Source organism: Homo sapiens, chromosome 14 (assembly GCF_000001405.40).
Source record: "Homo sapiens chromosome 14, GRCh38.p14 Primary Assembly".
Lineage (NCBI taxonomy): Eukaryota > Metazoa > Chordata > Mammalia > Primates > Hominidae > Homo > Homo sapiens.
The window spans coordinates 83848347-83863140 of NC_000014.9; the positions used below are offsets into that span (position 1 = coordinate 83848347).

General features: G+C 36.8%; 1 annotated feature.

Moving 5' to 3' along the window:
• Positions 12930-14129: an enhancer, noted in NCBI's record as "BRD4-independent group 4 enhancer chr14:84327620-84328819 (GRCh37/hg19 assembly coordinates)". NCBI's record gives its function as "activates an origin of replication core promoter dependent on BRD2, P300/CBP, MED14 and CDK7 cofactors, and independent of BRD4, by STARR-seq in HCT116 cells {active_cell/tissue: HCT116}" and the evidence as "EXISTENCE:reporter gene assay evidence [ECO:0000049][PMID:35650434]".

A 14794-nucleotide genomic window follows, 5' to 3' on the forward strand; every position in this document is an offset into this window, starting at 1 on the left:
GTGGTAGATCTAAGTACTGCTAACTGACCATAAAATTGAAGACATGACCTTCTGCGTGCTCTGCTACCCAATAGACACGCCTGGGTCACATGTGTACAAAAGAAAACAAGAGAAGGAAAATGGCAAAAGAGAAAAAAGAAATGGCCGAAATGAAAGAACCATTAAAAGTAATTAGATTGCTATGGTAATGTTACTAATATTAGAATAATGCTACTTAGGTGAAGTGTGTCAGAGTAGAAAAAACATCAGTTTAGAAAGAAAAGTTTGAATCTCCACTAAGTGACATCTCCAGTTTCATCATCTGTAATGCAGAAATATCTACCTCAATTAATTTATTTTATAGAAAACATCAAACAAAAAGCGTTGTAAGAATTAAAGCCCACGTGTGCCAAGTGTCTATCACACTATCTAGTAAAAAGAGGTCCTATATCAACAGTGAATATAAGCACCAATGCTCAACGTTTTTCAGTGAGTAAATCTGAACAGTTCTATACAACAAAGCTATCTTTTATATTTCAGTAGAGTTGCTTGTTAAGCACTAGTGTTATTTTAGGAGTCCATCTGTAAATAATCTAAATGAGTAGGTAAGCCGGGAGTCACATATATTTGGAAAAGCTGTAAAGTACAGTGCTGATTCTAATATCATTCTGCACTCAATGAATCTGAATTCAAACAAGAATGTGGCATAGAATGGAAAACTATGAAGTAACTGAATTTTGATCCCTAATAATTGAGTCTAAATAATAATAATAATCCCACCAATACCTCAATAACACTATAGCTCTCCTGTAATATACTGAGTAACTTTGCATATTCCAGTATATGACCCTAAACTAAGACATTTACTTAGCCTTCATTTCTTCACAGAATTAATGGAGAGACTGCGTAAGATAGACGGTACTTGCCAAGTTTGAAACCTCATAGTTATGGAAAATTTAATAATTGTGTGAACTAAAAAAAAATGCATTTCATTCATTCTAAACCAGAATGAAAATTTTTTTCAAAGAATTACATAGCTTTTTATTTATTTTTAAAAGTTGAATTTTAAAACACCATGTATATCAAGACATTTATATCCACATTGTGAAGTTGTGATTGAGGTTTCACTACCTTGACTCTTTCTGGATTCCTGGACAATTGTATCTAAATCCGCACCCTAAGATCAGGGCATGATATTGGACCAGGTTGGTAAAGATAACAGGAGTGGTCTGCTCTGCCAAACCCAGGAAATTTAAATTTGCCACAGATGGGCTCATTTTGTAAAGAAAGATGTAGAAAAATAGAGATGCATCTTACCTTCAGGATACACTGCCAGAATTACTTTCTTCTAAGTATTGTTGAGTCAATTTAAAGTTATAGAATACAGATAATTTTTACAGTTTCCTTTATAAGACTGTATAATACAGAAATTGAAATGGAAATCAGGCCAGCCCACAGAAGCAAACACACAAACGTACACCACATGCTTTAGTGGAGTGCATGGTTAGGCAGCTTGGAACCCATTTAAGTTTATTCATTTGATGGAAGTAATATTCTTTAGACCTTAAAGCCTTTATTCAGGCTACAATATAACAAGTTGTATCACATGTGTCTTCTCTCATGCACTCCCATTGCCTCTCAGCCAACCTAAGGATTGGTATCCATATGCAAAATAGCCTATTCCTTTTACTGTATAACCAGGCTCAATGGTGTTTATGTAGTAGTTTGGTGTTGGGGAAAAGTGGGTTATTTCAAATGCTCACATTCCAAAACAAACCAACACTCTGCTCCTCAGAGAATGAAGCTCACTAAATGTTTGCTGCTGGCAAATGGATATGCTCTGAAGCCGTCCCAGGAGGCTGCTTTGACAGATGTCAGCTGATGGACATTTGCACAAAAGTGTCTAAAATGCCTTATTTTACACCCAGTGTCAGTTGGCACATTACCTTCTTATACCTTCTGTGTTTCCATTAAATTAGGTTGGAAACAATGCCTCCTATTTACTGAGCAAATTCTTTTCCATGTGAATGGTGAACAATTGCAACCATTACTCTGTCAACCATTTCCATCCGCTCAATTAAAAACGCCTACACACTGCATTCTGAATCGTAGTCACCCCTGAGTGGAGCCTGACTCTGGCACTCACGACTGGTGAAAACTCTCTGATCACATCCGGGTGACAGCAGAAGGTTCTTTCATTTGCAATCCTCTTAGGGATTCTGAGAAAGTTAACCATGTTCTATGGACTGTTGGCAAAGTGTCATGTCCCCATTCAAAGAAAAAACTTTCCATGACTTACTAAGAAAGCCATTATGAATATCAAAGAGATACTATGAAAGCATGTTTGATGAATTAAGTATAAATGAAGATAAAATGTACCAGTTGGAGATTGTATTTTTTTAACCATGAGTTCAATGTCTATCTATTCCAGACATGGTCAAATTCAAAAACATGGGAAAATGGAAAAAAGAGACTAACTTTTAATCTCTAAAATATTGTCATTTTCTCTAGTGTTTCAGTAGGTGCTCTTACAATTATCACTTGCCCAAAAAGTCATCAATCTGATCATAGGCAATATAGGAAATATTTCTAAATTGATATCTCACCTCCCATTCACAGAAAGGTTTTTGTCATAAATTTTAATAATAATATTTCATGTATTGTTTATTAATGCATTTATTTACATAATATTTTACTTAGTGACTATAAAGCCCATAGCACTTTGCAGGATCTTGAAAGAAATCTATTTAACAAAAATTCAGTTATCTGGATATTATACCTCATGGTAGTCAACAAAATATTTATTCAAGAAACAGTATATATTAATGCAAATTAACACATGGTTACAAGCTCAAGTTACCATATCAGAGGATACCTAAACTGACTTCAGGAGGTTTAAAAAGACAGGCAGTTTGAAAATATATGATAATAGATACATTATAAGGTTTAATATTAACATTTTACCCAATTAAGATGACCAATACATAATTGGTCAAAGGTGACTGAGAAAATCTTGTGATATTTTGGAAGAAACTACTTTCAGATTCAATTGCTATTTAATGTGCCCATTTTTGTTGACAATTTAAATTTTTTTGGTAACAATCAGTTTTAAGATGGAAAACATGCCCTGGGTCAAAATAAAGTGCCATTTTTGCTGCACTGAAAAAAAAACTATATTACAGTTTGATTCCATGCTATGTCTAACACTCTAAGCTTTATTTTACTTGAACATTTTCTGATAATACTTTGAATGCAGAACTAGATATCAATAACTTCCTAGTTTACAATTCCAAGTATTTCTCTTAATAAGAAGTAGCAAAAGAGTTTGAACTATTCTGAGAATAATTGAATTCCATAATTCATTGATATTGAATCTAAATTATTTCTTTAACATTCTCTTACTTGCTTTCAAATTGTAGTTAATATTTGCAACATTTCTTTTAGAAACCTAAGGTTGTTTTTAAAATTAAACAAAAAATGAATGAAAAATACAAACCAAATTTGACCAAATGAGTTGTGTTTCCCTCATTAAGATTTCTCTGTTTAACTAGATACAGGCACACTCTTCAAAAGAGATACAATACCAGGATTTATTTTTCGTAGGTTTACAAATCTGATTTTGAAGGTTTTCTAGTTTCACATACTCAGCTATGTTCATGTAACAAAAGTTCAATCTAGTTAGAGGTAGAATACACACATAGGAAGTAACAAAATATGGCAGAACAATAAATAAGAGTGTGATGATGTCACATAAAGGTAAGGCCACAGGAACTTAAAGTGAGCACTGCTCTGTCAGAAAGGGATAGACGTAGTTGAGAAATTTTTATGAAAGAAATATTTATCAAGAAAAAGAAATATATGGAGGTTTACGGATTCTGAGTGGAAGAATATGATTTCTGAGGCAGATTCTGCCACATACTACCTCTAACGGTGGAAAAATCATTGATTCCAATTTGTATATTAGAAAAGAGAGATTTGTATACTTCAAAAGATAGGGCAACTCATTTTTAATAATATTCTGAAAACACTTGTAAGCTATAATGAATTATAGGGTTTTAAGAATAGTGATTATAGCCAAGATCCCAGAATGAAGACTTACTTTGTCTGCCTGCCATAAGAAATTGGGCTCTCTGTAGGAGCTCCGGGGAAAAGAGAGATAGGGCACAGTAGAACTTCCAGCTGTCTTGAGCCAAGACTCAAGCATCGCTCTTTTCAACAGTAGTCATGAGTTACATATGGCCATTTAAACTTAGATTTAAATTAATAAAATTAAATGTAATTAAGAATTCATCTCAGTCTGGCGCGGTGGCTCACGCCTGTAATCCCAGCACTTTGGGAGACCGAGGCGGGCAGATCACGAGGTCGGGAGATCGCGACCATCCTGGCTAACACGGTGAAACCCCGTCTCTACTAAAAATACAAAAAAAATTAGCTGGGCGTGGTGGCGCGCCCCTGTAGTCCCAGCTACCCTGGAGGCTGAGGCAGGAGAATGGAGTGAACCCGGGAGGCGGAGCTTGCAGTGAGCCGAGATCGCGCCACTGCACTCCAGCCTGGGCGACAGAGTGAGACTCCGTCTCAATTAAAAAAAAAAAAATTCATCTCTGGCATGGGGGCCACACTTCAAGTGCCTAATCGCCGCATATGGCTAACACGGCCATATTGGACCACACAAACAGATAATTTCCATCATCACAGGAAGTTATTTTTTATAAGCTCTGCTCTATAACTGTAGTTCTCAACTGGGGGCAATATCTCTCTCCAGGAGATATTTGGCAATGTCTGGAGACATTTTTGGTTGTCACGATTGGAGTGGCAGAGGCCATCGGTGCTGCTAAATACTCTTCAACGTGCTGCCTTGAATGCATTGCAATGAATTCCTTGTCCACACACAAAAAGACACTTCTGTTTCAAAAGCTTAAGAAACCCGGCTCGAGATCAAGCAAGGCCAAGTTTCAAATATGAATTCCCCTGGCATGTGGACTATGGGGGAAAGAATTCACTCTGGAGAAAGTCATCTCAACTTGTAACACTTGTCAGCTTTTTGAAAGAAGCTCTATGCATGATAATGATTTGTCACCTTACATCGTGCATGGACAGAAAGCTCTGGAAAATAAATAGTTCTAGGAAACATATAAAGGATATGAAATGAAAGCAAACACTGCTACTAGAGCCATGCTTGGGAGTATATCAGTAAGATTAGAAATAAATAGCGGAGGGGCATGGTGGCTAACGCCTGTAATCCCAGCACTTTGGGAGGCTAAGGCGGGCGGGTCACCTGAGGTCAGGAGTTCAAGACCAGCCTGACCAACATGGTGAAACCCCATCTCTACTAAAAATACAAAAATTAGCCAGGCATGATGGTGCATGCCTGTAATCCCAGCTACTCGGGAGGCTGAGGCAGGAGAATTGCTTGAACCCGGGAGGCGGAGGTTGCAGTGAGTGGAGATCACACCATTACACTCCAGCCTGGGAGAAAGAATGAGACTGCAAAAAAAAAGAAAGAAAGAAAAGAAAAGATCAATGTTGTTGTCTTTAAGCCATGACAGGTGCAGCAAATGCAAGGAATAAAAAGAAACACAATGCCAAAGCAACCACTAGATGCCACCTGGTAAGCCAAGAGGCAATGTAAAGAAGGAGTTAATATGGCCCATATTCAGAAGCCTATAGTTTTTATTTGTAATGAAGAACAGTAAAACATATGTCCACCAGTGTATTAGAGACTGTCTCCTTCAAATCTTAAACTATGTTTTTACCTCGAAAAAGAGAATAAATCTTACTAACTGTAGCAGACACTGCCCATATCTCCTTGGATTCATCTTATCAATTCTGCAACCCACCCCCATGTAGTCTCTGACTGACTCTAGATGTGAAAGTGCTGCTGTCTTGCCTTGAGGCTGAACAAACTCAGTGTAATTTACGCTCCAGAACTCTCTGCAGGGTCAGAATAAGGTTAGAATTTTGCTTGAAATTACAGCTTTGCTTGGCTCCTTGGTCCACCCTGTCCTGCTCCTAACTCCCTGGATTTCCCTTCCTTAAACTCTTGCACTTCCTTAATTCATCACTGCACCATGCTTCAGGGGCTGCTACTGGAGAATCTGATGTAAGGTAATAATGTTCAGAGGTCATTTATTCTTTCTATTGTTTTCTGTTTCCAGATATTTTGATTTCTGCCCTTACTATCATGATTTTCTTCCTTCTGATTAATTTTAATTTACGTTCCTCTATTTTCCTTAATTTCTTCAGTTAGAAGGTTAGGTCATGATTTCAGATATTTCTCTTTTATTCCCAATATATGCATTTAATGCAGTATATTTCCCTCTCAGCTTTGCTTCAGCTGTATTCCACAAATTATATGTGGTCTTTTCATTTGTATTCACCTCAAAATATTTACTAATTTGTGACTACCTTTTTGTCCTGTTCAATTTATACATATTTGGATAGTTTTCCAGATATTTTTCTGTTTTTATTTTTTAGTTTAATTCTGTTGTGATAAGAAAAATATTTTGTGCGATTTCAAGTCTTTTAAATGCATGGACATCTCTTTTTTGATGCATTTTGATAAATGTTCGAAAAACACTTTAAGAATATACTTGTATCTATTAGTGTCAAAGAGTTCGAATTGGTTGTGTTATTCACACTTTGAATATTTTTTACTGATTTTCCTGGATGCTTTCTTTTCATCAGTTACAGAGAGAAAGGGGTTGAAGTCTCCAATTATAATTGTGGAGTTGTCTAATTTTCCTTTATGTTCTAACAGCTTTTGTTTCATGTATGTTAAAGCTTTGTTGTAAGATGCATTCATATTTAGAATTTTTGTACCTACTATGAAAACTGACTCCTTTTTTTATGTATTTCCCTCATTATTGTGAGCAATACTTTTTATTCTGAAGTCTATTTTTTCTGACATTGATATAGCCATTTCAGCTTCCTTTTCAAAAGGGTTGCAGGGCATTTTCTTTCTTATTTTTTTTAATCCTAGATATGTCTTTATATATAAAGTAAGTTTCTTGTAGACAGCATGTAGATTTTTTAAAATAGAATTGGGCAGTCTCTACATTTATTTGGTGTATTTAAACCACTAATATTTGGGTTTGTGCTGAGTTGCCGTTATGGATACCTTCATTGCATCCTCAGCATCAAATTCTGCTACCTTGTATTTAGTGGGGAGTCTGGGGTGCTTGCAGTTGTCCTCAATGTTCCCACTCCATTCTAAGCTTTTAGTCCACTGGTGCCCCCGAGTCACAAATATGTTCTCTTCCCATGTTTCTGCACCTCCCCAAACTTACTGTTATTGCTTTTTACTCAGTGACCCCTGGACTGTTGCTTGGGGACAGAGCTTTCTTCTATTGTCCTGATGATGAAACTTGGCTATGGGCAGACCCTGTTTCCCTAGGTATCCGAAACAGATTTGTCAGTGGCTCTGCCATATTGTGGCTTTTGACTTTGGTAGGTTCTGTACAGAAAACAATTTCCTAACCATCCCCTGTGGTAGGAGATGTTTAACAGCATTGGTATAGGATCCTAAGCCTAGGGTTTTTGCCTGCCCCTTTCCTAGGGTAATTTTTTTCCCTGTCACTCTTCTACCAGCTGCAAAATGTTCTTTACCTGTCCCTGGGAGATGACAGGATTTACTACTCTCTATTAGAGGCTTAAGGATTTTTTTCCGTAGAGAAAAAATAAAAAGATCCTGTGAGACTTTGTGCTTTTTATAGTGGTGACCAGTTCACTTTTTGATGTCTACACTACCGAAAAAAACTTTGTGCCCTCTCACCCTATTCCTTATTTATGTGTGTGTGTGTGTGTGTGTGTGTGTATGTGTGTGTGACAGAGAGAGAGAGAGAGAGAGAGAGAGAGTGAGAGAGAGCAGCCAGTGGAATTCAGGGAGAATAGCCTGGGAGTGTTCACAAACTCTTTTATTTTTGAGGATCATAGAGATTCTGTTCTATCAGACTAGCCTACAATAAAACATTAGCAATTCATTAACATTTTCATCTTTATTTTCATACCCTCTTCTATGTCATAGAATAACTTTTCCTCCTGTGCTGTCACAGCTAGTCACAGCTCATGACATTCTTCTTTGTGGACGTTTGTCTTTCCTTGTATCCTTGGCTTTTTTTGTTTATTTGTTTGCCTTGCAACCTCAGCTTTACAGTGAGTTCAAGAAAAGGTAGTCCTGGTTATTTGTTTATTTTTTCTTATCAGTAAGGTAGGAATGATGCTCTTTCCAGCTTTCTGTGGCTTAAGGAATGTGTAAATTATTCCCCCGCATGTTTTTACTTATAGGTGGGTTTTATTGGGTAACATATAATTGTCCCTTGCTTTTTATGCAGAGTGAAAAATTTGTCTTTCATTTGGGATACTTAGACTGTTTACATTTACACTAGTTACTATTATCATCGAATTTAAATCTGCTATCTTGTTGATGGTTTCCTATTTTTTTCCATTTGTCATTTTTTCTTTCACTTTGTCCCTATTATCTCCCTGCTTATGCATTAGTTTTAGTTAATACTTTTATAATTCCATTATGTCTTTATTTTTACTTAATTATTATTCATTCTTTGCTGTTTTACTTTGGTGATTGCTATAAGTTTAGCAGCATACATCCTAACTTATCACTATTTTCACATGATATTATTCCCCTTCATGTAACATAACCTTACAGCAGTATGTTATCAATTCCTTCTGTCCTTACTTTGGGCTATTGTCATTGGCTGTTTTACTTTTGCATATGTAAATCCATTCTGCTTAAGAGTCTCTGGGCTTTTTGGATCTCTGGTTTGATGCCTTTCATTGTTTTAAAAACTTTTTTTGGTCATTATTACTTCAATTTGTTTTTCGGCTCCTTTCTTTCTTCTCCTGAGATTCTAGTTACACACATGCTATGCTACTTAATATTGTCCCACTGCTCTTAGATGCCCTGTTCTCCTCATTTCTCTGTGTTTCGGTTGGGGTGCTTACTATTGACTCATGTTCAAATTGAATGATTAACTTTTGGAAATGTCCAATTGAATGATGAGCACTTCAAAGTTTTCCTCAGCTTATGATACCATGTATTTTAATTTTTACCACTTCCATTTGACTCTCTCTTAGGGTTTTGACAAAGACTCGTTCCTTGACCGAATTTTAGCTAGGTTCCTCTGATCCCTGTTCTTGACTAGGCCTCAATCTTAGCCATAGAAAACTCAAACTCTCAACATGAATGATTTTTCCACCTCCTCCCCGCACATGAAAAGACTTAAACACTTACATACTATCTAAATGATCAGGATGACCCTAGCCCAGCTTAAAGTGCCTGCCTAAGAAAGCCCAAAGTTGACAAAATAATTTGTTGTTTTTATTGTAACCAACACCTGGTGACAGGCCTCAGACCACCCTTTCTCAGAGCATTTGCTAAGGGCATATGATTCTGAATCCTTCCTCTGTCTCTTTGTAATGTTTATGTATCTCACACAACTCTAGAGTGTCTTCCTCGAAGACTAAAATCCATTCCTCTAAAACACAACCATACAAAAGGATAAGACATCTGTCCCCCAGTCTTCGTGGTAGAATATAATCCTAACTTTTTAATGGCCAGTTAACAGAAATGGACTAATAAACATTTATACTGACAAGCCCTTTGTAATTTTTTTACTTTCATGACTCCACTGAAGCACCCTTTGCCTGACCCCAAAGCCTTCATTCTATCTTTCAAATGCCCACCTCTGCACACCTCTCACAAATCAAAGTGGAGCTCCATTATTCAACTAAATTATTAACATCTGTTCTTGCTAGGTGCGGTGGCTCACGCCTGTAATCCCAGCACTTTGGGAGGCCGAGGCAGGTGGATCACGATGTCAGGAGATCAAGACTATCCTGGCTAACACAGTGAAACCCCATCTGTACTAAAATTACAAAAAAATTAGCCGGGCGTGGTGGCGGGTGCCTGTAGTCCCAGCTACTCCGGAGGCTGAGACAGGAGAATGGCGTGAACCCGGGAGGCGGGGCTTGCAGTGAACCGAGATCATGCCACTGCACTCCAGCCTGGGTGACAGAGAGAGACTCCGTCTCAAAAAAAAAAAAAAAAAAAAAAAATCTGTTCTTACCACTTTAATTAGTGTTCAACTTTCATGATCTTTCACAGTTTTCATCTTTTTTTCTGAAGTGTCCCATCTCTTCACATGCTGTCTACCTTTTCCACTGCATTTTTAACATGCTAATCAAAGTTATATGATATTCACTATCTGATAGTTCTAACAGCTGCATCATCTCTGAATCTGGTCCTGTTCATTGCTCTGACTATTGACAATGGGTAATTTTTCTTGATTGTATTATGCATGTGAATGTATGCATGTTTGGATTTTTGTGCATATTCTAGATATCTCCTAGAGAAGGAGAGGCTGAGGTCAATGGGGTTCACGCATGGGAACGGGAATGTGTCTCTTCTCAAGCAGCTAGTGTCGTGGACTGAGTCAGTCTTGTCAGTTGAGTTGGCTTGAGGTTTTATAACTATATGTTTAGCTCAGTACACCACAGGAAACAAATTTATTTAACAAAGCCTCCTCCTTAGGGTGGGGGATTAAATCCCAAGCGTATTCTCCGTAGTTGTACTCCTCTCTGAGTCCTCAGTCTTCCTGTGTGCCACAGAGGGAATCTGTCTTCATACTCTTGCCCTCTTGTCTTGATTCAGCCTCTGTTTCAAATAGATCTTGCATTCATAGATCTATCTCAGAACAGGATTTTATCAGAGCAGAAAAGATTTAAAGCTGGGATGTTAATGTTAACGTGATTACTAGAAATATTAGAGGGATCATATCCAGATGGGCTTCTCAGAACTACTCTCCAAGTAGTAATCAGAATTGTCCTACCAAGACATGCTGCTTCAGCCACATTCAGAAAACTGAGAGCTGAAGATGCCAGTATCATGAATATTGGTCCAGGATTATATTTTCTTATTTCTGATCCCAAGGTTAAGAAGCAGCTTCCAAATCTATTGTCTCTAAAGTCACAACACGCCTGGCAACTCCACACCAGCAAAGTGTGTGCTTCATATGCGCTGCTCTTTCTCCCAATTTACTTGGTCCCAAACTTAATTTGATCAGACATGCATGGTATTGAAAAAGATGAGTTGTAGTCAGGATAATAATTGCAAGAAATTTTACAAAATGTACATTATTTGTGACATATATTTTATTTGCAGTAGACACAAAACCTGTAAACCTATATAAGAGGTTAGAATAGGGGTTGAGCAAGTCTTTCCATCATATCTACTATGGATTTGAATCCTCTCCAAATTGATTGATGTAATTTTTTTTTGTAACTTAGTGCCCAGGTTTTATTCACTTATGAGCAGAACAGGTATATTAGTAGCTAGTAATAACAGATGTTGTTTATTGGATGCTAACTACTGGCCAAGCATTGTTGTAAAATGCTTCACATAATTTGATCAATGCAATTCTAATCAAAATCCCAAAAACACTTCTCACAGACTCTTATATGGACTATGAAATTTATATGGAAGAGCAAAGGCAAAATATGGCCAACATATTACTGAACAAAAACATGGTGATGGTGGATTTCCTATGCCAGATGATATTATTCATTTGAAGTAATAGAAATAAGACAGGATGGATTGTCATGATCATAAATGAATAAGTCAAAGGCACAGAATAGAATTGTTTGCAAAGCAGAAAATATTACTTGATATGTATAGGTTTTTACACACACACATTTTCAAATAAATTATTGACCAAAATTATGTACAAGGTGGAACTCTAAATTGTTAGAGAAAAGAATAGGAAAACATCTTTAAATCTTGGTGATGATAAGGAAAACAAAAATAATTAAAGCAAAAGTGGTAATAATAAGGGAAATGATAAATCCATCCGTTTTAAAATTAGCAACGTGTGTTTAAAGTGAAAATACCAACACAAACTAGAAAGAAATATTTACAACATACATAATGAACAAAGGGTTAGTGGACAAAATACAGTCAAGAAACATTTAAAAGCCTTTATAATAAAAAAATAGAAAAATTGGTAAAATACACAAGTATTTAACAAAGCAAAGACTAATAGCCAATAAACATATGAAAAATATTTCACTTCACTAGCAAGCAATGTACTGCAAATTAAAATAATGAACTACCATTTTTACTCATTAGATTGGCAAAATAATCTGACAAGATCAAGTCATGGAGATAATGTGGATTAATAGGGAAATAGGAACATATGTGCACTTACGGAGGGAAAATAAATTCTACCACTACCTTGGAAAATAATGCGATATTATCTCATAAAATAGAAGATACACGCATGTCTTTGTTTTTACTACTATAACGAAATAACTTAGACTGGGAATGTATAAAGAATGTAAATTTATTTCTCACATTTCTGAAGGCGGGAAGTCCAAGATTAAGGTGACAGCAGGTTGAGTGTTCTGCTGAAGGTGGCAAACTCACCTGGCAGAAGGAGGAAAGGCAAAAGGGAAGAATACTGCATTTTCCATGGCAGAGAAATGGAAGGACAAAAGGGTCAGATAGCTCTCTGAAACCTCCTTTATAAGGACATTAATCCCATTTGTGAGGGCTCTGCCCTCAAGACGTCATCACCTTCTAAAACACCATCTCTTAATACTATCACATTGAGTCATAAGTTCCACCATACGAATTTTGGAGGGACACATACACGCAAATCATGACTCAGCCATATGAAACCTAGGCACATACTTTTGAGAAATTCTTATACCTGTGCACTGGGAACCAAGCAAGAGACCTAGAGCAAAAAAAAAAAAAAATTACTGTGGCTAATTCAAATGAACTTAATTTTGAATAAAATTGAGAAACCCACAAAAAAGTACTTATAGAATTATACCAGTTATATAATGCCCAAGAACATAAAACATAAATATACAATGTGTCATATACGCATAAATACATATGTAGTAGCATTATTAAGACATACAAGGGGATGATAAATGAAATTTGGAATAGTGGTTTTCTATTAGAGGGAGGGAGAAAAATGTGATGAACTGGATATATAGATTATTCTGTGTCTTAATCAGGGTGGTGAACAAAGACATGGTGTTTATTATTATTGTATAGAGATAAATTTTACTTATATACATATCTTTATATATTTATATGTATTACTTATTGCATGTTTTTAACAGAAAAGCAAACAAAAAAGAAGGTAATTTTACAACAAAATGATTGGCAAGAAAGGAAAAATGTTATTAAAGTTGTGAAAGGCAAAATTAAAGAAGGATTTTCATTATACAAATTAATTACCACATATTTTCCATTTTTCATATTTCCCCCATGAATCAGCTACCAAGAAAGCCTCCTATTTTTTTCTCCCATATATGCTCCTTTGTATTAGTCAAAGTCTAGTCAGGAAAAAAGAAATCTGAATGTTTCAATTAGAAATGGTGTAATAAAAAGAAAAGAAAATAAATGATGTAATACAATGATTAATTGGTTACTGGATATTCCAAATATAAGTGCTGTAGTACAAAGACTGGTCACATGGGTGGGACAACACCTGAAAGACAAATAGGGGAATGGGAGGTAAACTGAAGGTTATTAACTCCAGGAAGGCTGAGGAACTAAAGAAAGGAGGTGTTGGAACCAGGTCCTGGGAGCAGAAGAAAGTTCCCACTTCAAAGGTTGCCACTACTTTCTGCACTGAGGTCTGAGAGGAAGGACCACGCTGTGGATGCTGGAGTGGCGGAAGCCAGGCAGATCCTTCCAGAGACACTGTCAATGAAGGAAAAGACAAAGAGTAAGTGGAAAGATTTCTCCCTCCTCCTGCCTTCTAATCTGCCCCCATGCCTCTTGCTGACAGAACCGAACAAGAAGCTGACTGGCAAAGAAAAAATGGGAAATGTAGTTTGCAGACTCCCAAGTCTCCATTTTAGTTTCTCAGAATTTGCATAGCCATATTAAATATTTTTTTTAATTTTTGTTTTTTGTTTTTTGTTTTATAGTGGTTACTCCCTATAAAACTCAGAGTGAAAATAAGCATAAATAACTCAAAAATATTTTTCACTCGTGTTGCTAAATCTTGTCTTCCTAAGTAAGGTTATGTATCCAGACCAAATTCTCATTTGTTATGACAGACTCTTAAGATAAATAAAAGATGATGTTACTGAGAGTGGAAGGGTGTGGCAGGCTGAAAGCTAAGGTGGCTAGCCCACCTGCAGACAGAAGATGGATAAGGCTGCTGTGATTCTTCACAGTCAACTCTATCCGAAATTTCTCTTACAACACAAACCCAAACAACAAAAACAGAGACCCAAGAGGAGCCAGCTTATGCTGCCAGATAGGTCATGAAGGCCAGCAATCATCCCATCTCATCCCCAGACATGGAGGATCATGCAGTTTGAGGTGAGGGTGACAGAGCAGTGCCATTTGCTTTTCTACCATTTTCTTTTGTCCTATATTTAATAGTTGTTTTAAAAATGAATATTTTCCTTCACTTAGTAACTGATATCCTTGAATGGCCAAGTCATTGGTGTCCTTGCCTTAAAAATGTACCTGGGATTTTAGTTTTATTCAAGTATTCACCATGCAACAGAACTGAAGACAATTGCCATTCAAGAGATGGTTTATTCCTGACAGTGTCCAAGAGGAGAGGGGCACATCACCCTAAGCAAAGTCACAGAAGAGAGTCTGGAGATTGGTCACGGGCAGAGGGAGTGAGCAAGAGCAAACAGAAAGCCTTCGTGGTGTTTTCCAGAGAAGGTGTGGGCAAGGCAGAGCAAGGGGACTGACCAGGAGAGTATTGACTATGTTAAATAATTTCATAGGGATCTAGCATGTAAAGCCTGGGCCTAGTTG